This window comes from Homo sapiens, chromosome 19 (assembly GCF_000001405.40).
Source record: "Homo sapiens chromosome 19, GRCh38.p14 Primary Assembly".
Lineage (NCBI taxonomy): Eukaryota > Metazoa > Chordata > Mammalia > Primates > Hominidae > Homo > Homo sapiens.
The window spans coordinates 14,526,118-14,552,876 of NC_000019.10; the positions used below are offsets into that span (position 1 = coordinate 14,526,118).

Genomic DNA, 26,759 nt, shown 5'->3' on the forward strand with positions numbered 1-26,759 from the left:
CAAACCTGAGGTCCAGAAAAGCTCATCCTTGGAAGCTGCCGCAGCTTAGGCCGTCTCTTGCAGTTTCTCCCTTGGAAATTACTTTAATAAAGGAGCTAGTTACCATCAGCTCAACAACGACCCAACAGATCTACCAGTCACCATTGTGAATCAGCCACTGCTGGGACTGTGAAGGGACCAGCAGGATCTAGCTGTCCCTACAGACAGGCACTGTCAGGGGGCCACAGTACAGTGTCCTCAGTGGCTTGAACAAAGTGGCCAGTCTTCATTCCAAGGGTGGGTTTCATTTCTGCTGACAGCCTGGTTACCGGAAGCCAGATGGGCAAACAAGGGGTTCCTCAAGCCTGCAACACCCCTCAAAAACAAAGAGGAATTCTACTTTGGAGGCTGGATCTTGCCTTTCTGCCAGCTTCTTATGGGTGAGGAGGGGGTGGAAATTATTTGTATGTTCCGGTTGACACGCAGCATAGTAGGTGCATGAGGATGATTTGGTGCCTGTTGAGTAAGTGTGGGGCTCAGAAAAGCAGTCTCAAAAGGGAATTTCCAAAACGTTCTGAGTTTATGGGAATATGTATGGAATCTCTTCAAAATGACACCTACTTGTACACCATCATGCCCTATCTAACTGCAACCCAGAGATGGAAGACTCACCTCTTCAGATCACATTAAATAAGTTGAAAATTTGCATAACTGGTGAAGGAGCAACACATGGATGGGTCTTAGGGTTTCAACCCTATCCCCATGGCCCCTCACAATCAAGTACCTCAGGTAACTCAATCTGATAGGATTTTAACTGTGGTCTCAGGCCGAGTGGGATGGCTCATGCCTGTAATCCCAGCGCTTTGGGAGGCCGAGGAGGGAGGATCACTTGAGGCCAGGAGTTCCAGAGCAGCCTGGGCAACATAATGAGATCCCATCTCTACTAAAAAATTAACTTGTGGCCTGGAAGCAAATACTCTCCCCCAGCACCCAAGAAGGGCAGGGAGTGAGGCCTGTCATGACACAGAAGGCCTCAAAACTCAAACTGCCACCAGAAAAATATCTCTGCTTTTTTTTTTTTTTTTTTTTTTTTTTTTTTTTTGAGACGGAGTTTCATTCTTGTCACCCAGGCTGGAGTGCAGTGGTGTGATCTCTGCTCACTGCAACCTCTGCCTCCTGGGTTCAACTGATTCTTCTGCCTCAGCTACTTGAGTAGCTGTGATTACAGGTGCCCACCACCACACCCAGATAATTTTTGTACTTTTAGTAGAGATGGTTTCGCCATGTTGGCCAAGCTGGTCTCAAACTCCTGACCTCAGGTGATCCTCCTGCCTCGGCCTCCCAAAGTGCTGGGATTACAGGCCTGAGCCACTGCGTCCGGCCAGATCCTTGCTTTTGAAAGCACACATACAGAACACCTTCAGGTTTTCATCTGTTTTTCCCAGATAGCACCAGTGAAAAAGATAATGAGTTTCCAGAAGACCACATAGCGTTGGCTTCCTGTACTCGCAGTCAGGGATCCCCAAAGGCTACAGCTTCAGAAGTTTCCAGAGCCAAATCTGGATGACTGAGTTCCAAGCACTGACTCACCCTTGCCTCCGCCTGCTCCCCTGTGAATCAGTGATCTACCTTTAAGGACTTCTCATCGTGTCTCTCATGACAGGCCTGTGAATTCCAGATGGTTCAACAGCTCATGAAAGCTCAGGGGCAGGATCTGGAAACAAGAGTAAGGAGAGGAGGTGAAGAAGTGTGCCAGGTACTGCCTGTTCCTTTGTCTGTCAAAAGTCTTTTCTTTTTTTTTCTTTTTTTTTTGAGACAGAATCTCACTCTGTCGCCCAGGCTGGAGTGCAGTGGTGCGATCTTGGCTCACTGCAACCTCCACCTCCCGGGTTCAAGCGATTCTCAGCCTCCCTAGTAGCTGGGATTACAGGTGCCCACCATTACACCTGGCTAATTTTTGTATTTTTAGTAGAGACAGGGTTTCACCACGTTGTCCAGGCTGGTCTTGAATTCCTGACCTCATGTGATCTGCCTGTCTTGGCCTCCCGAAGTGCTGGGATTACAGGTGTGAGCCACCGTGCCTGGCCAGAAATTTATGTGTTTTTCATTTACAGCACATCTCAATTTGGACCAGTCCCATTTCTTTTTCTTTTTTCTTTTTTTTTTTTTGAGACGGTCTGTTGCTCAGGCTGGAGTGTAGTGGCGAGATCTTGGCTCACTGCAACCTCCGCCTCCCGGGTTCAAGCAATTCTTCTGCCTCAGCCTCCTGATTAGCTGGGACTACAGGTGTGTACCACCACGCCCGGCTAATTTTTGTATTTTTAGTAGCGATGAGGTTTCACCATATCTGCCAGGCTGGTCTCGAACTCCTCACCTCGTGATCTGCCCCCCTCGGCCTCCCAAGGTGCTAGGATTACAGGTGTGAGCCATCGTTCCCGGCCTGGACCAGCCCCATTTCAAGGGCTCAGTGGCCCCATTGGAGCCACTAGACACGATTCTGGACGTCAGGCAGAGACCAATGTAGTTCCCCTGTCCATAGGGCGGAGCAAAGTGTGGAGGGGGGCCGGGCGGGGTGGCTCAGGCCTGTAATCCTAGCACTTTGGGAGGCTGAGGCGGGAGGATCACCTGAGGTCAGGAGTTCAAGACCAGCCTGGCCAACCATGGGGAAACCCCGTCTCTACTAAAAAAAATACAAAAATTAGTCGGGCGTGGTGGCGGGTGCCTGTAATCTCATCTACTTGGGAGGCTGAGGCATGAGAATCGCTTGAACCCGGGAGGCGGAGGTTGCGTGAGCCGTCATTGCGCCACTGCACTCCAGCTGGGGGACAGAACGAGATTGTTTCAAAAACAAAACAAAACAGAAAAACAAAGTGGGGCGGGGCTTTCATTAAAAACGGCAGTGAAGCCACCCCAGAATGGGGCTGGGGCTCAAGGTTCTTGCAGGTTGGGGGTTCCCAAATGGGGAGCTTTTCGCGACTCCGTTTCGCCTTTCCTTCCCTCCCACTCAAGAGTCTCCTCCCATAGTGACCTCCTCGCCAACCAGACTCCGCAGCCCGCGACCCCAGCCCCTAGCCCTCTCCTGCTGTTCCCGGTGTACCCCGGGGGCCGCCCACCTCAGAATTTACCCCTTCGGCGCCGCCTGTCATGTGGATGCTGCCTTGCCTGTCACTCAACTTCTTACCCCGCCCCCGCGTCTGGCCTAACCGTCGCTTACCTTGGTTTCCACAGCGACGCCATCAGGGGGCGTGGCAAAGGGACGCGCGGGGCAGAGACCTCCTTTGGATTGGTGGATGGTCAAGCCCCTTCTCTTTAGCCCCTCCTACAGGCGTTCCGCCCCCTTCGATTGGTCTCGCAAGTTGATTGGTCAATCCCCTGGTGCTAGTCCTAGTCTTGGTTCGGACCGGCCCCAAGGAGCAGGGGCGAACGTGGGCGCCTCGTGCCCTGATTGGCCGACGGGGCGCGCGCGGCCTGGAGGGGCGGGGCGGACGCAGAGCCGCGTTTAGTCTATCGCTGCGGTTGCGAGCGCTGTAGGGAGCCTGTGCTGTGCCGCGCAGTTAGGCAGCAGCAGCCGCGGAGCAGTAGCCGCCGTGGGAGGGAGCCATGAAGCATTACGAGGTAAGAAGCGAGAAACAGGGGCCGTGTGGCCACTGCTGACCCATTCTTTTTCCTTCTTTGCGGGACCACGGGACCCCACTTTCTGGTCCTGTGCCCCGAAGGAAGAGCCAGACGGCGCAGGCGCAGTGGGCAAGCGTTGCGCCCCGGGCCACTCGTAAATTCCAATGCGCATGTGCGCAGGAAGTATTTATAAATCTGCAACCCAGGCTGTTTTGGGGGTACTTTTTCTTGGGGGTCTCTGCAGGGGCTGGGACGCTTGCAGGTTCCTTGCAGCTCCCCCAGCGGGCTGAGTTGCAGACTTTGTCATGGGAGCCACGAAGGTGCGGGACCCTTGCTCCCAATCCGAGGGAGTCTTGCACAAATCTTGCGCCACGCCGCCGTCACCAGCGTAGGAAGGGGCTTTGCTATCAGTATTCTTGTGTACGACCTTTGGACCCCTTCCCTCGCCCGGGACGTTCCCGGGAGACTTAGGCGGTGAGGGAGGTGCAGCTCCACGGCTGGCTTTCGCAGAGCAGCGAAGCTGATCTTGCTTTCTGGTTATCAAAGAGGTCATCTACGTCAACCCTTGGGTGTCACCAAGGAGAAATCTTATACCCACCCACAGCCACTCTTGAAGCCCAAGTCTTCTGACTCCTAACTTGGGTCTCTTTTTCCCTTAAAACGAAGTCTTCTGATGTGCTTATCGCCCTAGGTGATAATATAATATTAATAATTCAACCAATTATCCCTGAATTATTGCTGACTTTTAAGTAACTATCATCAAATAATAAAATTTGTTATTAAAATTCAAAATAACAATTTAGCAAGTGCTTACTCTTGTGCTGGTGAGATTCTGTTACCTTGTATAAGAACTATTATTATTCCTGTTTGTAAGGATGAATAAAGTCTCAGAGATATAAAGTGACTTGTTCAAAGGCCCCTAGTTAGTAAATGCAAAACAGATAGGGGAACTCAGGACGCCAAGGTCTTAGTTCCTAGCCACTATGCCATGCTGGTCCTCAAATGAAAAATAGCAGGTCGAGCGATTTCTTGTTTCTCACTTCCCCTCCAATTTAAAAAATTCTGGCAAAATACACATAAAATTTACCATCTTGACTATTTTTAAGTGTGCAGTTCAGTGGCATTAAGAACATTCACATTGTTGTGCAACCATCACCACCACCCATCTCCAGAACTCTTTGCATCTTGGAAAACAGAAGCTGTAGACGTTAAATACTAACTCCCCATTCCTCTCCACCTCCACCTCTGGCAGCCACCATTCTACTCAGCCACCATTCCGTCTTAATGAATTGACTACTCTAGGTACCTTGGATACGTAGAAGGATTTTTTTTTTCTTTTGGAGACAGAGTTTCGGTCTTATTGCCCGGGCTGGAGTGCAATGGCGCGATCTCGGCCTACTGCAAACTCCGCCTCCTGGGTTTAAGCGATTCTCCTGCCTCAGCCTCCTGAATAGCTGGGATTACAGGTGACCGCCACCATGCCCGGCTAATTTTTTGTATTTTTAGTAGAGATGGGGGTTTCACCATGTTGACCAGGCTGGCCTCAAACTCTTGACCTCAAGTGATTTGCCCTCCTCGGCCTCCCAAAGTACTGGGATTACAGGTGTGAGCTAGTGCGCCCGGCTGTTTGTTTTTATTGACAAGTTGAATATTACTACCTCTGCCTCCTGCCCCCTTTATTGCTACTATTTTTGGAAATTTACCCACAATCCTTTGAAGCCTTTTTTTGAGACGGAGTTTCGCTCTTGTTGAGTACGCTGGAGTGCAATGGCGTGATCTTGGCTCACCGCAACCTCCACCTCCCGGGTTCAAGTGATTCTCCTGCCCCAGCCTCCTGAGTAGCCGGAATTACAGTCATGAGCCACCATGCCCGGCTAATTTTGTATTTTTAGTAGAGACAGGGTTTCTCCATGTTGGTCAGGCTGGTCTCGAACTCCCGACCTCAGGTGATCCACCCACCTTGGCCTCCCAGAGTGCTGGGATTACAGGCATGAGCCACGGTGCCTAGCCCCTTAGAAGCCTTTAACCCACAAATCCTGTAATTTTTGACATGGTATCAAGAATGAGGAGGTTTGTATTCAATAATCTCTGTCATTTAAGTTTTCATTCTAGAATGAAGTTCTGATGTGGATTCCCCTCTCAAACTCTATATCTAAACCTGTAGTCCCACTACTGTAGTCTCAGCTACTCGGGAGGCTGAAGCAGGAGGATGGCTTGAGCCCAGGAGGTTGAGGCTGCAGTGAGCCCAAAAATCAGGCCACTGCACTCCAGCCTGGGCAACAGAGACCCTGTTTGAAGAAAAAAAAAAAAAAAAAAAAAAGCTACCATGTCCAGCTTGAAACATGCAGTTTGGAACATCCATATGGCATTTTGCAAATGTAGTTGGTTTAGTTTTGCTAGTTAACAGTCAGATAAAGTAGGCCTCTGAGCACCCTGGGGGTGCGTGCTTTTGTTCCAGGAAGCTGGGCACAGCCTGAGGCCCAAGACTTGGACTGGAGAATATGCTCCACCGTACTTAATCCTTTTCTCTCCCAGAAAGAAGGGGGAGCTTTGGCCAGGCATGGTGGCTCACGCCTGTAATCCCAGCACTTTGGTAGGCTGAGGTGGCCGGATCGCTTGAGGTGAGGAGTTCAAGACCAGCCTGGCTAACATGGAGAAACCTTGTCTCTACTAAAAATACAAAAGTGAGCCGAGTGTTGTGGCACACGCCTGTAATCTCAGCTACTTGGAGGCAGAGGTTGCAGTGAGCTGAGATCATGCCACTGTACTCCAGCCTGGATGACAGAGCGAGAGTCTGTCTCAAAAAAAAAAAAAAAAAAAAAAAGGGAAGCTTCAAACTCACTGTTCAAAGTGACCTTGAAGGAAAAAATAAATTGTTATTTTGCTGTGTTGTTTGTTATTCTCTGCCAACCTTTGCCAAGTACCCATAGAGGCGATAGCTACAGGGCTTCTGGGTGGGAGAAGCAGTTGTTTCCCGGCCCAGCGGATTGCATAGCAAGCAGATTAGTTTAACTGCATGTGTGTATTGTAGGTCAGTAAAAATAGAAAGGATGCTTTCACTCACACTTAACAAGCAATTTGAGAAAAGGTTTGTCTACATCAAAGAATATATTTCTGGCCGGGCGAGGTGGCTCATGCCTGTAATCCCAGCACTTTGGGAGGCTGAGACGGGTGAATCACTTGAAGTCAGGAGTTCGAGACCAGCCTGGTCAACATGGTGAAACCTCGTCTCTACTAAAAACAAAAAAATTAGCTGGGTATGGTGGCACGTGCTTGTAGTCCCAGCTACTGGCTTCGAGGCTGAGGAATGAGAATCACTTGAAGCTGGGAGGCGGAGTTGCCATGAGCTGAGATCACGCCACTGTACTCCAGCCTGGGTGACAGAGCGAGACTCTGTTTTAAAAAAAATAAATAAAGGATATATTTCAGCTGGGCACAGTGGCTCATGCCTGTAATCCCAGCACTTTGGGACACCAAGGTGGGCAAATCATGTGAGGTCAGGAGTTTGAGACCAGCCTGGCCAACATGATGAAACTCCGTCTCTACAAAAAATAAAAAATTAGCTGGGTGTGGTGGCGCACGCCTGAAATCCCAGGTACTTGGGAGGCTGAGGCAGGAGAATCACTTCAACCTGGGAGGTGGAGGTTGCAGTGAGCTGAGATCGCACCACTGCACTCCAGCCTGGGTGACAAGAACGAGACTCTGTCTCAAAAAAAAAAAGAAAAAAATCTATTTCTGCTTGGGACTAAATCCATCTTCCCACCCTCAAGCAGTCTGTTGTCCACTGAAAGGTTGGCCCCTGGAGAGACCTTGGAGATTATGAAGTGCAGTTTACAACTGATAGAGGTAATGCCCAGAGGGGTGCAGGACGTGCTGACTGTCACGCAACAAATTAATGTCTGGTTGAGGACTGTTATCATGGCAGTTGGGATCCCAGCAGTAGTGGAGATCGGTGGCTGTTTCCATAGTAGCCTCATATCACTGCCAAATCTCATCTGATCTGAGAGGAAAAGTTTTCCACTCTGTGGCCTAATTGAGGTGAAGCCTCTCTCTAGAACGGGTCACCTCCAGGCCTTGGCTGAAGCCGTCTTCTTAGAATACCAGAGCAGGCCTTAGCATTGTCTTGGGGTCAGAGCTAGGTCGGTAAGCGAACTGCTTATCCTAGGATACAGTATTTTTTTAATGTATTTTTTTATTTTATTGCTGTTTTTGCCACTGCAGATGAGACTCAAAGCAATGAGCCCAGCAGCAACTGGAAAAACAGCTACTACATCTTGTAATTGAGCCTGTTAATTCCTGAGAAAATCAGTCTGTCTTCAGCCTCCAGCAGTCCAGGTCACTGCCCATTTCCCGCAGCTGAATACCCAGAAGCGAGCCTCTTGGGGTCCCCCATAACCCACATTTAGGGTGTTTTCTTTCTTTTTTTTTTTTTACACAGAGTCTCGCACTCTCGCCCAGGCTGGAGTGCAGTGGCTCCATCTTGGCTCACTGTAAGCTCCGCCTCCCGGGTTCACGCCATTCTCCTGCCTCAGCCTCCCGAGTAGCTGGAACTACAGGTGCCTGCCACCATGCCTGGCTAATTTTTTGTATTTTTAGTAGAGATGAGGTTTCACCGTGTTAGCCAGGATGGTCTCGATCTCCTGACCTTATGATCCGCCCGCCTCGGCCTCCCAGGGTGCTGGGATTACAGGAGTGAGCCACCATGCCTGGCCTTTTTTTTTTTTTTTTTTTTTTTTTTTTTTGTGACAGAGTCTCGCTCTGTCACCCAGGCTGGAGTGCAGTGATGTGATCTCACCTCACTGCAACCTCCACCTCCCCGGTTCAAGCGATTTTCCTGCCTCAGCCTCCCAAGTAGCTGTTATTACAGGTGGGTGCCACCATGCCCGGCTAATTTCTGTAGTTTTAGTAGAGATGGGGTTTCACCATGTTAGTCCAGGCTGGTCTCGAACTCCTGGGCTCAAGCGATCCTCCTGCCTTGGCATCCCAAAGTGCTGGGATTATAGGTGTGAGCCACCGCACCTTGCCCAGGGGTGAGTCTTATTAGCACCTGATCAGATGGGAACTACTGTTCTACTTTACAGATAATGCAACTGAAGCTCAGAGAGGTAAACTAAGCTGGTCAAGGTCACAGAGCCTGGAAGCCAGGGAGCTGAACCTGGGTTTGTCAGACTCCAGTTTTGTCCACACTGATGGCTTCTCTGCTGATGCTGCCCTAGGACAGCTGGTGGCTCTCCTGCTGTGTTCTGAGGACAGAGCATCCCTGAAGGGAGGGCGAGGTGCTGCGGGTCAGTGTGGACTGCTGGGAGAGGGTCTTTCTCTGCCCTAAAATCGGATGGGCTGCCCCTTGCAGTAAGGGCAGGATTGAGAGTGATGAGCCTTGCCTGGGTGCAGTGGTTCATGCCTGTAATCCCAGCACGTTGGGAGGCTGAGGCAGGAGGATCACCTGAGGTCAGGAGTTCAAGACTAGCCTGGCCAACATGGCGAAACCCCCTCTCCACTAAAAATATAAAAATTGGCCGGGTGCAGTGGCTCATGCCTGTAATCCCAGCACTTTGGGAGGCCGAGGTGGGTGAATCACGAGGCCAGGAGATCGAGACCATCCTGGCTAACACAGTGAAACCCCGTCTCTACTAAAAAATAGAAAAAGTTAGCTGAGTGTGGTGGTGGGTACCTGTAGTCCCAGCTACTTGGGAGGCTGAGGCAGGAGAATGGCTTGACCCGGGAGGCGGAGCTTGCAGTGAGCCGAGATCGCGCCACTGCACTCCAGCCTGGGCGACAGAGCGAGACTCCGTCTCAAAAAAAAAAAAAAAAAAAAAAAAAAAAAAAAAAAAAATATATATATATATATATATATATATATATATATATATATATATATGTATGTATATATAAATTAGCCAGGCATCATGGTGCACTCCTGTAATCCCAGGTACTCGAGAGACTGAGGCAGGAGAATTCGTTTGAACCTGGGAGGTGGAGGTCGCGGACGAGCTGAGATCGCACCACTGCATTCCGGTCCTGGGCAACAGAGTGAGACTCTGTCTCAAAAAAAAAAAAAAAAAAAAAGGGAAAGTGGTGAGCCTTGAGCTGTGGTGAGCTATAAAGACCTTTCCTATGTTAGCCTGACTCAGGCCAAGATCCTGAGGGGGTTGGAGGGGATCTTAGGCTTTTCAGATTTTCCTGCAGGCTTCTTGCTTTGAGCAGATGGTGACTCACTGGGCAGATTCTCCTGGTGGAGTCCCTTCTGTCCTGGCTGTAGCTTTGTACTTAGGCCATTTCTTTGCTGTAGGCACTCAGAATCTCAGAGCCCCAGGCTTGAGATAATTTTTCTGGTTTAACTTCTGTAAAGTTACAGATGAGGGACCTGAGACCCAGAGAACAAGGCCTTTTCCAGGGCTGCAGGCCAGTTCCCCTTTGGGTTGGGCAGTATTGATTGATACTCTTCCTGGGAAGGTGGCAATGCTTACGGGCTTTGGATCAGTGCTAGGCTCATATGCTTAACTGCCACTGACAAGGTTTGGAGCCCACGGGCAAGGTCTTTAGTTTCTCGAGCTAGTTTTTTTTTTTTTTTTTCGTGAGACAGAGTCCCCCTCTGTTGCCCAGGCTGGAGTGCAGTGGTGCCATCTAGGCTCACTGCAACCTCTGCCTCCTGGGTTCAAGCGATTCTCCTGCCTCAGCCTCCTGAGTAGCTGGGATTACAGGCGCCCACCACCACGCCCGGCTAATTTTTGTATTTTTAGTAGAGATGGGGTTTCACCATATTGGCCAGGCTGGTCTTGAACTCCTGACCTTAAGTGATTCTCCCACCTTGGCCTCCCAGAGTGTTGGGATTACAGGCGTGAGCCACAGCGGCTGGCCTTGAACTAGCTTTTTAATCCATAAAATGACACCTGGGTGTGCGAGACCCGGCTGACATTGGCTGATGGTGTGCATCTTCCCAACTCTGTGTTCAGGGATATCAGGCTGACATCTCTAAGTCACAGGTAGGGTATTTACATCACGGAAAGTGGCAAATGCTACAGCTGAGGCCCCTTCCTCTCTCCTGCCCAATGTTCATATTGACTGGGATAATTGTCCCTGCCTCCCAGGGTTATCGTTTCAAGGGTTTCTTGGTCTGGTGAGCATCGTATGAGCAGATACATACCTGGAAAGCCTCAGCTTGGTGCAGCACCTTGCAGCAGCTAACATTTGACAAGTAGTACGGCCCTACTCACCTCTGGACCTCTGGACACGGGGCAGATGTGGGGAGGAGGGGCCGAGGAGGGGGCGGGGCCGAGGAGGAGGAGGTGGGGCTTGAGGACGGGGAGGGGTGTCGAGGAGGGGGAGGCGGGTCCCAAGGAGTAGGAGGCAGAGTTTAGCAGGAAAAGGCATGTCCTGAGGAGGAGGAGGGGGCAGGGCTGAGGTGGAGGAGGTGGTTCCTGAGGATGAGGAGGTAGGGCTGAGAAAGAAGAGGCGGGGCCGGGGGGGAAGGGGAGGCCGAGGGGGAGGAGGTGGGGCTCAGGAGGAGGAGGCGGGGCAAGAAGGAAGCGGCGGGCCTGGATGGGGGAGGCGGGACCAGGGAGGGGGAGGCGGGACCAGGGAGGGGGAGGCGGGACCGAGTAACAAGAAGGTGGGACGGGATGAGTGGTGGGCTTTGGTGTGTGCCAGGTGGAGTAGCTGTTTCAGCCGCACCCAGGTGGATTTAGAGGCTCCACCAGCTGGGCCCAGCAAAGCCTTCTGGACTAACTGGTTCCTGAGAACAGAGGAGGGTTGACAGCCTTGAGTGAGGGCGGTGCTTGGAAAGGCCTTGCGACTCTGATAAGGTGGTTGGGTTTGGTCGGGAATCCTGCACTTTCATTGACAAGCCTGGCTGCGTGAGAAAGGCCAGAGACCTTGAGCTAGTTGGTCAAGTTCAGGCTGGGTCTTAACACCTTCTTGCTGATACTGATAGTGGCAGCTGAGAATGTTTTAATACCTGGGACATTTCCTGCGGCAGCCAGAATATAGTAATCTTCCTAGTAAATTACGGTGAATATAGTGCTTAATTATCAGTGTTTTTTTTTTTTTTTTTTTGAGACGAAGTCTCGCTCTTGTCCCCTAGGCTGGGGTGCAATGGCGTGATCTCGGCTCGCTGCACCTCCGCCTCCCGGGTTCAGGCGATTCTCCTGCCTTAGTCTCCCGAGTAGCTGGGATTACAGGTGCCCACCACCACACTTGGCTAGTTTTTGTATTTTTAGTAGAGATGGGGTTTCACCATGTTGGCCAGGCTGGTCTGAAACTCTTGACCTCAGGTGATCCGCCCAACTTGGCCTCCCAAAGTGTTGGGATTACAGGCGTGAGCCACTGCGCCGGCAGTGTGAGTGCTTCTTATCTAGTAACATATCTAAATCGTGTACTAAACATAAGACGTAGATGCTGTTCTTATCTCTACTTGACTGATGGAGAAACTGAGGCACAGAAAGTGAAGCGACTTGTCCACAGCTAGTGGCTAGCAGAGCTGGGATTCTTCTAGAACCAGAGTGGGCTTTGCTGTGGGTCGTGCACTGGGGAAAGAATCAAGTGTGTGGTGGTGGTGAAGGACTTGGAGGCCACCCACTCTGTCCTTGGGACAGTGACTTAACCTAAGCTTCAGTTTTGTCACCCTGTGAGGCCAGGATAACGACACCTGGGGGCCTGTGGGGGAGTGTGAAGTGCTCAGCATGCTTCGCGGCCCACAGGCAGGGTAAAAATCCTTAAGCGGAGAGGGACCCACGTTAGGCAGGTAAGGACAGATCAGCATCCCCAGGGCTGCCTGAGATGCTTTTGGCACCTGACCTCTTTGGAAGGCCTCAAAACTCTTTTTTTTCTTTTTTTTTTTTTTTGAGATAGAGTCTTCCTCTGTCACCAGGCTGGAGTGCAGTGGCGTAATCTTGGCTCACTGCAACCTCTGCCTCCTGGGTTCAAGTGATTGTCCTGCCTCAGCCTCCCGAGTAGCTGGGATTACAGGCACGTGCCACCATGCCTGGCTAATTTTTGTATTTTTAGTAGAGACGGGGTTTCAGCATCTTGGCCAGGCTGGTCTTGAACTCCTGACCTCGTGATCCACCCGCCTCAGCCTCCCAAAGTGCTGGGATTATAGGCATGAGCCACCACGCCTGGCTGAGAAAAGCTTCAAAACTTAATGAAGAAGGTCCACCAGGCGCCAGGAGACAGACTGATGTCAAATCATATGCCCAGAAGGTGGAGGAAGAAGCCCAGATGCCAGTGCCTCAGTTTTGATATAATGTCACACACCATGCAAGTCACATTTTTTTTTTTTTTTGAGACAGAGTCTCGCTCCGTCACCCAGGCTGGAGTTCAGTGGCTCCATCTCGGCTCACTGCAATCTCCGCCTCCCGGGTTCATGCGATTCTCCTGCCTCAGCCTCCTGAGTAGCTGGGACTACAGGCGCCCACCACCACGCCCGGCTAATTTTTTTTTTTTTTTTTTTTTTTTTTTGTATTTTTAGTAGAGACGAAGTTTTACCGTGTTAGCCAGGATGGTCTCGATCTCCTGACTTCGTGATCCACCTGCCTCGGCCTCCCAAAGTACTGGGATTACAGGCGTGAGCCACCACACCTGGCTGCAAGTCACATTTTGAGATGATCAGCTCTTTCCTTCTTCATGGGAAGACCCTTGGGGAAGTCACACCACACTCAGAGCCCACTTTTTAACCTGTTGTGACAAAGAATCATCCCAGGAAGTGGAGGCTAGAAGACAGTCTGGCCACCAGGTGCCTGTCACAGCTGCCTCACCTAGGAGCACACTGCTTCTGTTCCTGCTCCCTCCTAGCTGACTGTTCCCCACCGAGCCACAGGCAGAAGGCCTTTTTGCCTGTAAGTGGGAGGATCTTAGTGTGCCATGGCTCAGAACCTTCCCTCAGAGGCTTGTCATCTGTCCCCTGCTTTCCTCAGTTGTTACTATGCTACTGTCTTTCACAGATACCCAAAACCACGTTCCTGCCCTAAGCACATGCTATTCCCTCGGCCCTGGATGCCCTTCCCTCTGCTTTCCTCATGCCTGGCCCTTCGTGTTACCGAGCGCTCAGCTTCCATGTCCCCCAGAGAGACCTTCCTTGGCCATCCAATCTAAAGTCCAACCCCTTGCCTGTCACCCTGGCACCCCACTCATCTCCTTCGCAGCCCATCTGGGCTTGGGTTGTGTTTTCTTTCTTTTTTTTTTTTTTTCTGAGACGGAGTCCTGCCCTGTTGCCCAGGCTGGAGTGCAGTGGTGGGATTTTGGCTCACTGCAACCTCCACCTCCCGGGTTCAAGTGATTCTCCTGCCTCAGCCTCCTGAGTAGCTGGGATTACAGGTACCCGCCACCATGCCTGGCTAATTTTTGAATTTATTTAATTTTTTTTTTTTTTGAGACGGAGTCTCGCTCTGTCGCCCAGGCTGGAGTGCAGTGGCATGATCTCGGCTCACTGCAAGCTCCACCTCCCAGGTTCACGCCATTCTCCTGCCTCAGCCTCCCGAGTAGCTGGGAGTACAGGCACCCACCACCACGCCTGGCTAATTTATTTTTTATTTTTTATTTTTACTAGAGACAGGGTTTCACTGTGTCAGCCAGGATGGTCTCGATCTCCTGACCTCGTGATCCACCCTCCTCAGCCTCCCAAAGTGTTGGGATTACAGGCGTGAGCCACTGTGCCTGGCTAATTTTTGTATTTTTATTTATTTATTAAAAAATGTGTGTTTTTGAGGCAGAGTCGTGCTCTGTCACCTAGACTGGAGTGCAGTGGTGCGATCTTGGCTCTCTGCAACCTCTGCGTCTGGGATTCAAGCATTCTCCTGCCTCAGCCTCCCGAGTAGCTGGGATTACTGGTGCCCACCACCACACCCCACTAATTTTTGTATTTTTAGTACAGACAGGGTTTCATTGTGTTGGCCAGGCTGGTCTTGAACTCCTGACCACAAGTGATCCACCTGCCTGGGCCTCCCAAAGTGCTGGGATTACAGGCATGAGCCACCGTGCCTGGCCATAATTTTTGTATTTTTAGTAGAGGCAAGGTTTCACCATGTTGGCCAGGATGGCCTCGAACTCTTGATCTTAAGTGATCTGCCGGCCTCGGCCTCCCAAGTAGCTGGGACTGCAGGTGTGTATCACTATGTCTGGCTGCTTTTTTTTGTTTGTTTGTTTGTTTGAGTTGGAGTTTTGCTCTTGCCCAGGCTGGAGTGCAGTAGAGTGATCTCGATTCACTGCAACTTCCGCTTTCCGGTTTCAAGCCATTCTTTTGCCTCAGGCTCCGGAGTAACTGGGACTACAGGCCACACGCTGCTAATTTTGGTATTTTTAGTAGAGACAGGGTTTCACCATGTGGGCCAGGCTGATCTCGAACTCCTGAGCTCAAGTGATCTGCCCAACTTGGCCTCCCGAAGTGCTGGGATTACAGGTGTGAGCCACTGTTCCCGGCCAGTGCCTGGCTAATTTTTAAAGGATTTTTCTTGGTAGAGACGCAGTCTCACCGTGTTGCCCAGGCTGGTCTTGAACTCCTTGGTTCAAGTGATCTCCTGCCTCAGCCTCCCAAAGCTCTGGGATTCTAGGTGTATGCCACCGTGCCTGGCTGGCAACTGGCTTCTTCTGGCCTCTTGGCCACAAGCCCTGGGTCCATCCTGCCCGTGGCTGTCCTGTTCCCCATCATCTCAACCCTCCTGGCACAGCGGCCCTTCTGAGATGGAAGCTGCCGAGACAACACTGGGCACTCACCGCACAGGTTGTGGGCAGGTCCTGCTGGTCCAGGCCTTTTCCCGTCATAGGACCCTGCCTCTGTTTTCCAGTCCATCACTTATTCATTAGTTCATTTGTTCCAACATGTTTTTTCCCTCTTATCAATGCTAAGAATCGTGGGATGAACGAACCACATTCTCTGTCCTCAAGATCTTTTCATTTAAGCCAAGGCCTGAAGGTCGAGGTCTTTGGGGCCAGGGAGGAGAATGGTGTTCTAGGCAGAGGGAACCGAGTGGTGTGTGCAGAGGCATGGAGCCCAGAGTTTGCATATGTCCCACGTTGAGGGATGAGGCTGACAGGGCAGGGCTTTGTAGCCACCCAGAGAGACCTGTGGACTTCTTTTCATTTTTTTTTTTTTTTTGAGATGGAGTTTCACTCTTGTCACCAAGGCTGGAGTGCAATGGCACAATCTTGGGTCACTGCAACCTTCGCCTCCTGGGTTCAAGCGATTCTCCTGCCTCAGCCTCCCGATTGGCTGGGATTACCAGCTAACGTGCCACCACGCCTGGCGTATTTTTTGTATGTGTAGTAGACCGGGTTTCACATGTTGGCCAGGCTGGTTTCGAACTCCTGACCTCAAGTGATCCGCCCACCTCGGCCTTCCAGAATGCTGGGATTACAGGCGTGAGCCACTGCCCTGCCTCATTTTGATGGCAATGAAAGTCCCTTTTCTGTTTTATTCAATTACCTATGAATTATTGTTTTTAGTAGAGATGGGGTCTTGCTATATTGCCCAGGCTGGTCTCCAACTCTTGGGCTCAAGTGATCCTCCTGCCTTGACCTCCCAAAGTGCAGGGATTACAGGTGTGAGACACCATGCCCGACCACATTCTACTGATTTTACCTAAAAGATTCCCTATTGGAGGGCAGTTCATTTTTAAGTCCTCAGGGGGCCCTCATGCCATAGTGTTTTTTTTTTTTTTTTTTTTTTTTTTTTTCTGAGATGGAGTTTCGCTTTTGTGGCCCAGTCTGGAGTGCAGTGGTGCAATCTCGGCTCACTGCAACCTCCGCCTCCCGGGTTCAATCAATTCTCCTGCCTCAGCCTCCTGAGTAGCTGGGATTACAGGCATCCACCACCACTCCCGGCTAATTTTTTTATTTTTAGTAGAAATGTTGTTTTACTATATTGGCTAGGGTGGTCTCGAACTCCTGACCTCAGGTGATCTACACGCTTTGGCCTCCCAAAGTGTTGGGATTAGAGGCATTGAGGCACTGCACCTGCCCACCATGGTGTTTGTAATAAAAATGCACAGAGCATTTGTTCCTTATTCTGAGAAGTGTACCGTGGATTGCGTGTGGGGCTTACTGGGAGCAGAGCGACTCACCCCAGTTACATGGTTAGCTGCATGTGGGTCATGAGTGTTTCCCAGCCCTGCAAGGTGTAAAGGCCCTCTCTGTGGCCCTGTAGCTGTGTCACAGTGACAGGCTGGCATGGCCCTGCCTCTGTCCCTGCTCGAATCAGGCTCTTACGTAAGCAGAGCCCACCAGCCATTCACAGACTGCCTGAGAGAATGCAGGGCTTTATGCAGTCTCCTGGGTCCTTCCAAATTCTTTTTTTTTTTTTTTTCCATTTGAAAGTGAACAGGGATCACTGGCCAGAGCGTGGGATCTGGGCTTGTCCTCAGGGTGGGGTGCCAAGTTGGGGGTGGGGGTGGGAAGTTAACACAAGCCCTGGGGCTTCAGGAAACATCTGGAAACAGGCTGAAGTCACGGAGCTGAGCCTCCAGGCTCCTTGTGGGGAGAAGCTGTTTCCCCAGACACCTCAAGTGTCTAACTCAGGAGGTGGGCAGATGGGTGGAGCTGCTGAATGAATGTTTCTCAGGAGCTGGGTGGGGTTGGAGGATTGCAGAGGGTGGGGTGGGGGTGTGTGTGTGTGCAGATACTGGAATTCCTGAGGAGACATGTATAGTTGGAAACAGTGTATTGCCTGTATACTACTTGTTTCAGAGAATATATATATATATATATATATATATATATATTTTTTTTTTTTTTTTTTTTTTTTTTTTTTTTTTTTTGAGACGGAGTCTCGCTCTGTCGCCCAGGCTGGAGTGCAGTGGCGCGATCTAGGCTCACTGCAAGCTCCGTCTCCCGGGTTCACGCCATTCTCCTGCCTCAGCCTCCCGAGTAGCTGGGACTACAGGCGCCCGCTACCACGCCCGGCTAATTTTTTGTATTTTTAGTAGAGACGGGGTTTCACCGTGTTAGCCAGGATGGTCTCGATCTCCTGACCTCGTGATCCTCCCGCCTCGGCCTCCCAAAGTGCTGGGATTACAGGCGTGAGCCACCGCGCCCGGCTATATATATATTTTTAAATTGAGACAGAGTCTCCCTTTGTTGCCCAGGCTGGAGTGCAGTGGTATGATCGCAGCTCATTGCAACCTCTGCCTCCCAGGTTCAAGCAATTCTGCCTCTGCCTCCTGAGTAGCTGGGATTACAGGCATGCACCACCCCACACCTGGCTTATTTTTGTATTTTTAGTAGAGACAGGGTTTCACCATGTTGGCCAGGCAGGTCTCGAACTCCTGACCTCAAATGATCCTCCCGCCTCAGCCTCCCAAAGTGCTAGGATTACAGGTGTGAGCCAACGTGCCGGGCCTGGAGAATAGTTTAACAAAATCTCCCAGCCAGGGGTGGGGGATCCACAGAGGACAGAGCTGGAGAATCCCTATCCAAATACTGGTGTGGGGATGGTTTCTGGAGAGGCTGGCTGTGTGGTCTTGGTCTGAATGTGACAAAATACCTCCGAGAAGCCTCTGCCCCTGACTCACCCAGGCCACACTCATCACCTTGTCACCTCATGTTTGAGTTCTCCACACAGCACTTGGCACCTTCTGATAAGGCATGTTTGTGTAAGCCCCTGGCTCTCCCCTGTAACCCCTGGCCCTGGGGAGGGTCTCTGGATACTTGTGGAACGAGTATGTGTATGTTTGATAGAGGCCACTGTCTTACGGAGCACACAGGACAGGCTCAGCCGTTCAGCCGCATAATTGATGCCTGCCCTCAAAAGTCACTGCAACTGATCAGGACGAGGATGCTTGCATGATCTCGGGGTGTGCGGCCATTCTATGGGACTGGCAGGTCTGGCTTTGAGTGCGGGTCCTGAGCTTATAGCATATCCTTGGTGATAGTAGCAGAGGGTTCTGCTCTTCCATGAACCGGGCTCATCTTTTGCTGCTGCGGTGTTTGGCCATTCCTTTTTTTTTTTTTTTTGAGACAGGGTCTCACTCTGTCGCCCATGCTGGAGTGCAGTGGCACGATCACGGCTCCCTGCAACTCCAACTCCTGGGTTCAAGGGATTCTTGTGCCCCGGCCTCCCAAGTAGCTGAGACCACAGGTGCATGCCATCACGCCCGGCTAATTTGAAAATTTTCTGTAGAGATGGGGTCTTGCTGTGTTGCCTAAGCTGGTCTTGAACTCATGGGCTCCAGTGATCCTCCTGCCTCTGTTTCCCAAAGTGCTGGGATTACAGACAAGAGCCACCATGCCCAGCACGTGGCTTGTTTTGAACCATTGACACATCAGAATCTAGGAACTGCGGTGTCCTTTTCACTCCTTCCCTTCTCTGTTCCCTCCCTGGTCCAAGCACCTGAGTCTCTGCCCTGAGTTGTTTCTAAGCCTCTCACCACTGTCTCTGAAGCCACATTTGCTCCCTTACTGTTCCTCTGTCCCCAGCAGAGAGATGATTCTTCAAGAAACCAAAGCAGCCTGTGGCATTCCAGCGATTCCTCATTGCTCAAGGGTAAAACCTAAAGCACTTGTCTTGGCTCTGCTCCAGCCTGCTGCTTAGCTGCTCCCCCTAAAATTTACTCTGTTCCAGCCTCCGGGTGTCACCCGCTTCCCCAAAGCTCTGTGCTACCCCAGGGCCTTTGCATTCCCCGCCAGGGAGCCTCATGCTGGCCCTCAGCTGAAATCCCATTTCCTCAGCAGGGTCCTCCCGGGCACACCCACTGTGGCCCTCTGGGCCCTCTGCACCGCTGTCTCCTCTCCACAGCTCCTGGTACATCGTGACCCCGTATTATGTAATAGGTGCTTTGTTCATGTCCCCTTGAGCACCAGCAAGCCTAGGGGGTGGGGGGGATAGCCTCTCTCAGTCGTGCGCACTGTCATATCCCGGCCCTTGGATCGCTGCCCGCACGCTCTTGTTACACCCGCCTGACTGCCATTCATCACTGAGCCCAGCAGCTGGCACAGGCAGGCCCGACGCAGCAAGGGGCACAGTCCGTGTTGGTTGCGTGCATGGCGAGTGCAAACTGCACAGTTAGCAGAAAAGGTTTTTGGGAGTGACAGACACCCCTGCACACGGTTGAGCCCTTTGTAGGTCTCCGTGTGACAAGTACATCCCTGCTGTGCTTGGGAAAGGGCTGCGGCTTGGGAAAGGGCTGTGTGGGTTCCCTGGCTTCTTCCTGCTGTCCCCGAGGAGCATCGGAAATGGGTCACAACGCAGCAGGTAACCGCAGCCTCCCTCAGGCAGAGCTGAGTGGCTCAGTATTCCATCCAAGGCCTGATCAGAGCTCCTCTGGGCCACATAGAGCCCCCAGGACATGGCTGGACTAGGAGTTGGGACCCTGATCTCCCTTCCTGGCTGGGTCACGCCCGCCATGCCACTGACTCTTGGGGGACCTGCCTGGAAGGTGAGGAAGTGATCCATGCTAGCTCGTCCCTGGGGACCAAGTCCTTCTGCACCTGGGGTGGTCACAAATCTGCTTTCAGAAAAATCATGGGGGCGGCGCTGGGGGCTACTCAGCTGGGAAATCATTACAGACATTTCCGATCATAGATCACACTGAAAGTTTTTGGGCATCTAACTCAGAAGGAATTCTAGATTTGGGATTTTTTTTTTTGCTCTGAGAAAACTCCACCCTAGGCCAGGTGTAGTGGCTCACACCTGTAATTTCAGCACTTTGGAAGGCTGAGGTGGGCGGATCACTTGAGGTCAGGAGTTCAAGACCAGCCTGGTCAACATGCTGAAACCCCTCTTCTACTAAAAATACAAAAATTAACCAGGTGCAGTGGCACGTGTCTGTAATCCTGGCTACTTGCGAGGCTGAGGCAGGAGAATTGCTTGAACCCGGGAGGCAGAGGTTGTAGTGAGCAACCTCCTGCAGAAATTTTCTTTTTATTTATTTATTACAGAAACAGGGCTCTCACTATCTTGGCCTGGCTGCATGCACTACCGTGTCTAGCCTGGATTTTTCTTTCTATGCTTAGAACCTTTGGTCACTGAAATATTTCTTAAACATTATTTTTTCTTTTCTTTTTTTAAGACGGAGTCTTGCTCTGTTGCCCTGGCTGGAGTGCCGTGTCGCGATCTTGGCTTGCTGCAACCTCCACCTCTGAGGGCGGGTTCAAGCCATTCTCCCACCTTAGCCTCCCAGGTAGCTGGGACTACAGGTGCACACCACTACGCCCAGCTAACTTTAGTATTTTTAGTAGAAACAGGGTTTCACTATGTTGGCCAGGCTGGTCTCAAACTCCTGACCTCAAGTGATCTGATCTGCCCGCCTTGGCCTCCCAAAGTGCTGGGATTACAGGCATGAGCCACTGCACCCAGCCTAAAAATTAAATTTCAATTTGATCAACATGATAGGGTAATCAGTGCTAACCTTCAGTCATAAACATGTATTATAATAAGATCCTATGAAGGAGGGAAACAGAAACCAACGTCAAAGCAAAAAGAGAGCCAATGTTAAAGAGCTTATTCATAGCCTCTTATTTTTTTTTAAAGGGATAATGGTAGGTTTCAAATTACTGAAGCATTTAGACTCTAGATAGATTTAACAGAGTCCTGTAAATGTTTATGTAAAATTTTTAATACCGACAGTAGGCCAGAAATGACATCTTTTGCAACTCTTAAAGCTTGGGTAAAAATATTAGTTACAGGCGTGAGCCACCGTACCTGGCCTATTTTATTTTATTTTATTTTATTTTATGTTTTTTGAGACAGAGTCTCAGTCTGTTGCCCAGGCTGGAGTGCAGTGGCATGAACTCTGCTCACTGCAACCTCTGCCTCCCAAGTTCAAGTGATTCTCGTGCCTCAGTCTCCAGAGTAGCTGGGACTACAGGCATGTGCCACCACACCTGGCTAATTTTTTGTATTTTCAGTCGAGATGAGTTTTCACCATGTTAGCTAGGATGGTCTCAAACTCCTGACCTCAGGTAATCCACCTGCCTTGGCCTCCCAAAGTTCTGGGATTACAGGTGTGAGCCACTGTACCTAATATTTTTTTTTTTTTTTGAGTCAGGGTCTCATTCTGTCACCCAGGTTGGAGTGCAATGGTGCTATTATAGTTCACTGCAGCTTGGGCCTCCTGGGCTTAAGTGATACTCTTGCCTTAGCTTCCTGATTATGCTAGGACTACAGGTGCATACCACCTACAGCCGGCTACTTTTGTTTTTTTTTGGTAGAAATGGGGTCTTGCGATGTTGCCCAGGTTGGTCTTGGGTCTTGGGTCTTGGACTCTGGGCCTCGAGGGATCCTCCTGCCTTGGCCTCCCAACCATGTGTGTGTTTAATGGGCATTTCTTTTTTTTTTTTTTTTTTGAGACGGAGTCTCGCTCTGTCACCCAGGCTGGAGTGCAGTGGTGTGATCTCAGTTCACTGCCACCTCTGCCTCCTGGGTCAAGCGATTCTTCTGCCTCAGCCTCCCAAGTAGCTGGGACTACAGGCGCCCACCACCATGCCCAGCTAATTTTTTGTATTTTTTGTAGAGATGGGGTTTCACCGTGTTAGCCAGGATCGTGTCGATCTCCTGACTTCATGATCCGCCCCCTCGGCCTCCCAAAGTGCTGGGATTACAGGTGTGAGCCACTGTGCCTGGGCCTAATGGGCATTTCAAACTTTACATGTCCAAAATGGAGCTTCTGATTTTTCCTCTTGAACCTGCATTTCCCCACCCCCTTGGTGGCAGTTCCGGCCTGTTTGTTACCCAGGCCCTAAGCTGTTTGACTCTGCTCTTTCTCTCATGCCTCATGTCCAAATGTCAGCACATCCCTTAGCTCAGCATTCTAGAATTTAACCACTTCTCATCAGCCTCACTGCCGTTACCAGGCCTAAGCCAGGGGTTGGCAAACTTAATCCAGCTAGCAAAGATCTTAGGCTTTGCCTAAGGGTCTCTGCAGCACTGCTCATCTCTGTCGTCTCTTTTTTTTCTTTTAGAGACGGAGTTTTGCACTGTCGCCCAGGCTGGAGTGCGGTGGTGCGATCTCGACTCACTGCAACCTCCGCTTCCCAGGTTCAAGCAATTCTCCTGTCTCAGCCTCCCAAGTAGCTGGGATTACAGGCACGCATCACCACGTCTGGCTAATTTTTGTATTTTGGTAGAGACGGGTTCACCATGTTGGCCAGGCTGGTCTCAAACTCCTGATTTCAAGTGATCTGCTCACTTTGGCCTCCCAAAGTGCTGTGATTACAGGCGGGAGCCACCGCATCCAACCATCTCAGACATCTCAGCAGCAGTGATACCACTGTGGCAGCCACAGATGACATCCAGTGAGCATGGCGTGTTCAATACAACTCTATTTATGGACACCAAAATTTGAATTTAATTTTCACATATCATGAAATAGGTTTCTTTGATTTTTTTTTTCCATCCGCTTAAAAAGGTAAAAACGTCATGTATTTTTTAAAAGATAAAACAAAAGTTAAAGCCATTTTTAGTCGGTTCAAAAGCCGGCAGTAGACCAGAGTTGCCCTATCGGCTGTAGTTTGCTGACCCATTTGTCTAAGCCATCATTACCTTCACAGAATTATTTCCACAACCTTTAATTGGACTTTTTTTTTTTTTTTTTTTTGAGATGGAGTCTCACTCTGTCGCCAGGCTGGGGTGCAGTGGTGCGATCTCAGCTCACTGCAACCTCTGCCTCCCGGGTTCAAGCAGTTCTCCTGCCTCAGCCTCCCAAGGAGCTGGGACTACAGGCATGCGCCACCATGCCCAGCTAACTTTTGTATTTGTCATAGAGATGGGGTTTCACCATATTGGCCAGGCTAGTCTTGAACTCCTAGTCTTGAAGACCTTGTGATCTGCCCTCCTTGGCCCCCTAACCCGGCTAAGTTTTTAAAAGTTTTTGTAGAGATAAGGGTCTTACTATGTTGCCCAGCCTGGCCTCAAACTCTTGGGCTCAAGTGATCCTCCTGCCCTGGCCTCCCAAAGTGCTGGGATTACAGGCATGAGCCAGCGTACCTGACCTGCACTCAGCTTTTGGCCTCTTTATAAAATACTGTAGGCCAGGCGCAGTGGCTCACGCCTGTAATCCCAGCACTTAGGGAGGCTTAGGCGGGCAGATCACGAGGTCAGGAGTTTGAGACGAGCCTGACCAACATGGTGAAACCCCATCTCTACTAAAAATACAAAAATTAGCTGGGCATGGTGGCATGCACCCGTAATCCCAGCTACTCAGGAGGCTGAGGCAGGAGAATCACTGGAACTCGGCATGCGGAGGTTGCAGTGAGCCGAGATTGTGCCACTGCGCTCCAGCCTGGGCAACACAGTGAGACTCTGTCTCAAAAAAAAAAATAAAAAAAATAAACTATACACCTGCCCCCTTCAACTGCCACTCCCTGTCCCCTTTCCTTTCTTTCTTCTTTCCATGTCGCACGTCACCTTTGAACATATTACATATAGCGATTTATTTCATTGTCACTCTTTCTTTGCCAAGATGTGAGTTCCATGCGAGCAGGGATTTTTGTCTCTCCTTCTATAGCTGAACCCCACAGTCCTTAACAGGGCCTGGCATGTGTCAGTGAACAAACGAGCCTCAGTTTCCTTACCTGCAAAAGAGGATGAATACATTGTAAAGGAGATGATTCGTGTTGAGGATGAGCCTCCGTGCCTGGCTGGTTGTGAGTGGGCGGGTGGTGTTAGCTGCCGCCGCGTGTATAAAGCCTGCCACGTAGATCCCAGTCTAGGCTCTTTGGCAAGCTGAGCTCATGGGGGTGGACTAACCTGTCTGCTGGACTCGGGCAGTCGGGGGTTGGCCCGGATGAGCTCCTCCTGCTCCTCCAGTCAGTTTGTATCTGCAGGGCTCAGCCTCTGGCCCCCTTCCAGCTTCCTGGTCCGACAGCGCCTTCCTGCCCTGAGTTGGAGAGAGACCCAGGTGTCGTCCCCAACTGCCACCCAGCTGTGGGTGCAGGGATGCAGTTCTGGACCATCCCCTGGGGGTCTGGGACCTGGGGAGTTGAGTGTTTGGCCTTTACACTGGAGCTCCTTGAGGGCTGGCCCCAGCGGCCAGGAGTGTCAGTTTTTTGGTTTGTTTGTTTTTTAGATGGAGTCTTGCTCTGTTGCACATGCAGCAGTATAGTGGCGTGATCTCAGCTCACTGCAACCTTCACCTCCTGGGTTCATGCGATTCTCCTGTCTCAGCCTCCCCCGTAGCTGGGACTACAGGCCCGTACCACTATGCCCAGCTAATTTTTGTAGAGACAGGGTTTCACCATGTTAGCCAGGCTGGTGTCGAACTCCTGACCTCAGATGATCTGCCCACCTTGGCCTCCCAGAGTACTGGGATTACAGGCATGAACTACCACACCCGGCCGCTCCTTTTACTTATGAGGACACTCCTTTCTCTTATTAAGTCCACCTTAAATTCAGGATAATGTCATCTTAAGATCCTTAATTATATCTGCAAAGACACTATTTTTTTTTCTTTTTTTGATATGGAGTCTTGCTTTGTCACCCAGGCTGGAGTGCAGTGGTGCGATCTCGGCTCACTGCAACCTCCACCTCCCAGGTTCATAACGATTCTCCTGCCTCAGGCTCCTGAGTAGCTGGGATTACAGGCACCCACCACCACACCCAGCTAATTTTTTTGTATTTTTAGTAGAGATAGGGTTTCATCATGTTGGCCAGGCTACTCTCGAACTCCTGACCTCAGGTGATCCACCCACCTCGGCCTCCCAGAGTACTGGGATTACAGGCGTGAGCCACTGCACCTGGCCAATTATTATATTTTGTGTAGAGAAGGAGTTTTGACATGTTGCACAGGCTGCAGGAATTCCCTAATTCCTAAGCAGTCCCTGTGTTAGATGGTCTTGCAGGCACACCCATTTACTAGTTGGAGAAGCAGACAGGCAAGGCAGGTCTGACACCGCCCCCTGTGGCAGTGCCTCTCAGTCAGCATTGAGGACGCGCCCCTGCTTTTCTAGGCCCATTGGCTGTCTTAGCTAGTGACAGGAAAACATGCAGGAGGCATTGCCACAGCTGTAAACCCTGCCTGGGCCCCGCTGTGGTATGAGTTGCTGATAGACCTTTTGCTCTGGTACAGCCTGGCTGTGTGAGGCTGTGGGGCAGAGGCCAGCGGGCTGGGTCCTCAGGCCAGGCAGAGAGGCTCAGTTCTTGGTGTCTGCTGGAGGATCGCATCCAGGGTGGTGGGTTTTTTGTTTTTTTGTTTTTGTTTTTCTTTTGTTTGGTTTTACCCTTATTTCTTTATTTCTTCCTTTCTTCCTCTTTTTCTTTCCTTTCTCTCTCTCTCTCTCCCCCTCCCTCCCTCCCTCTCTCTCTCCCTCCCTCCCTCTCTCTCTCTCTCTCTCTCTCTCTTTCTCTCTTTTTTTTTTTTTGAGATGGAGTCTCGCTCTGTCGCCCAGGCTGGAGTGCAGTCAGTGGTGCAGTCATAACTCAGCCTTGACCTCCTGGGCTCAAGCAGTCCATCTACCTTGGCCTCCCAAAGTGCTGAGATTACAGGCATGAGCCACCGCGCCTGGCCTTTTTCTTTTCTTTCTTTCTTTCTTTCTTTTTTCTTTTTTTTTTTTTTTGAGATAGCGTGTCTTCTGTCCCCCAGGCTGGAGTGCAGTGGTGCAATGATAGGTCACTGCAGCCTTGACCTCCCGGGCTCAAGCAATCCTCCCAGTCTGGCCTCCCAAACTGCTGGGATTATAGGCGTGAGCCACCGTGCCCGGCCTGCCTTTTCCTTTCTCTGTTGCACATAGCCCTGCTCTCTAGGATGGAGGCATTATTTTATTGTAGGAGCTTTGGGCCTGAGCAAGCTGGGTGGACACTCACATGGGCACTTCCAGGCTACTTACCTTGGGCGAGGGCTTCCTCGTTCCCAAGCCCCAGTTTTCCAAGCCACGTAACAGGCATCACAGTCTTTTTCTTTTCTTTTCTTTTCTTTTTTTTTGAGAGGAGTCTCGTTCTGTCGCCCAGGCTGGAGTGCAGTGGCGCAATCTCTGGCTCACTGCAAGCTCCGCCTCCCGGGTTCACGCCATTCTCCTGCCTCAGCCTCCCGAGTAGCTGGGACTACAGGCACCCGCCACCATGCCCGGCTAACTTTTTTTGTACTTTTAGTAGAGACGGGGTTTCACTGTGTTAGCCAGGATGGTCTTGATCTCCTGACCTCGTGATCCACCCGCCTCGGCCTCCCAAAGTGCTGGGATTACAGGTGTGAGCCACTGCGCCCGGCCCAGTCTTTTTCTTATAGGGCCTGGGTGAGGCCTGGGTGGCA

The 26,759-nt window shown here is 50.9% G+C and overlaps 2 protein-coding genes and 1 non-coding gene across 13 annotated transcripts in view, besides 4 other annotated features; 2 read left to right on the forward strand and 1 right to left on the reverse strand.

The window, feature by feature from the left end:
* DNAJB1 (DnaJ heat shock protein family (Hsp40) member B1) overlaps positions 1-26,759 on the reverse strand; it is a 45,623-nt gene that overhangs the window by 11,349 nt on the left and 7,515 nt on the right. The window contains exons 2-3 of one of the 5 annotated variants that reach the window (XM_047438745.1): positions 24,266-24,395; positions 1,570-1,693 (exon numbers count right to left, since the gene is read on the reverse strand). The gene's annotated coding sequence lies outside the window, so the exon portion shown is untranslated. Of the gene's footprint in view, positions 1-1,569; positions 1,694-3,007; positions 3,155-24,265; positions 24,396-26,759 lie in introns of those variants that run through there. The other 4 variants (XM_006722733.3, NM_001313964.2, XM_011527956.4 and 1 more) reach the window with 4 other exon arrangements.
* Positions 1,609-26,759, forward strand: part of TECR (trans-2,3-enoyl-CoA reductase) — a 38,255-nt gene continuing 13,104 nt past the window's right edge. For 3 of the 7 annotated variants that reach the window (NR_038104.2, NR_038103.2, NM_138501.6), the window contains exon 1: positions 3,477-3,594. Coding sequence is in view for 4 of the 7 variants with exons in the window: in NM_138501.6 (NP_612510.1) it covers positions 3,580-3,594 (15 nt within the window). In the remaining 3 variants the exon portion in view is untranslated. Of the gene's footprint in view, positions 1,736-3,442; positions 3,595-18,996; positions 19,064-26,759 lie in introns of those variants that run through there. The other 4 variants (XM_006722945.3, NM_001321170.1, XM_047439737.1 and 1 more) reach the window with 2 other exon arrangements.
* Positions 3,221-3,805: an enhancer, noted in NCBI's record as "H3K27ac hESC enhancer chr19:14640150-14640734 (GRCh37/hg19 assembly coordinates)". NCBI's record gives its function as "activates a minimal SCP1, AML or CMV promoter by ChIP-STARR-seq in naive H9 embryonic stem cells {active_cell/tissue: H9 hESC(naive)}" and the evidence as "EXISTENCE:reporter gene assay evidence [ECO:0000049][PMID:30033119]".
* Positions 3,279-3,568: a silencer, noted in NCBI's record as "silent region_10258". NCBI's record gives its function as "represses an Ori minimal core promoter by ATAC-STARR-seq in GM12878 lymphoblastoid cells {active_cell/tissue: GM12878}" and the evidence as "EXISTENCE:reporter gene assay evidence [ECO:0000049][PMID:35858748]".
* On the forward strand, positions 3,426-3,523 carry MIR639 (microRNA 639). Its single transcript, NR_030369.1, has one exon. It is a non-coding gene; the product is annotated as a microRNA 639 (primary transcript).
* Positions 4,169-4,228: an enhancer, noted in NCBI's record as "active region_14172". NCBI's record gives its function as "activates an Ori minimal core promoter by ATAC-STARR-seq in GM12878 lymphoblastoid cells {active_cell/tissue: GM12878}" and the evidence as "EXISTENCE:reporter gene assay evidence [ECO:0000049][PMID:35858748]".
* Positions 25,564-26,063: an enhancer, noted in NCBI's record as "H3K4me1 hESC enhancer chr19:14662493-14662992 (GRCh37/hg19 assembly coordinates)". NCBI's record gives its function as "activates a minimal SCP1, AML or CMV promoter by ChIP-STARR-seq in primed H9 embryonic stem cells {active_cell/tissue: H9 hESC(primed)}" and the evidence as "EXISTENCE:reporter gene assay evidence [ECO:0000049][PMID:30033119]".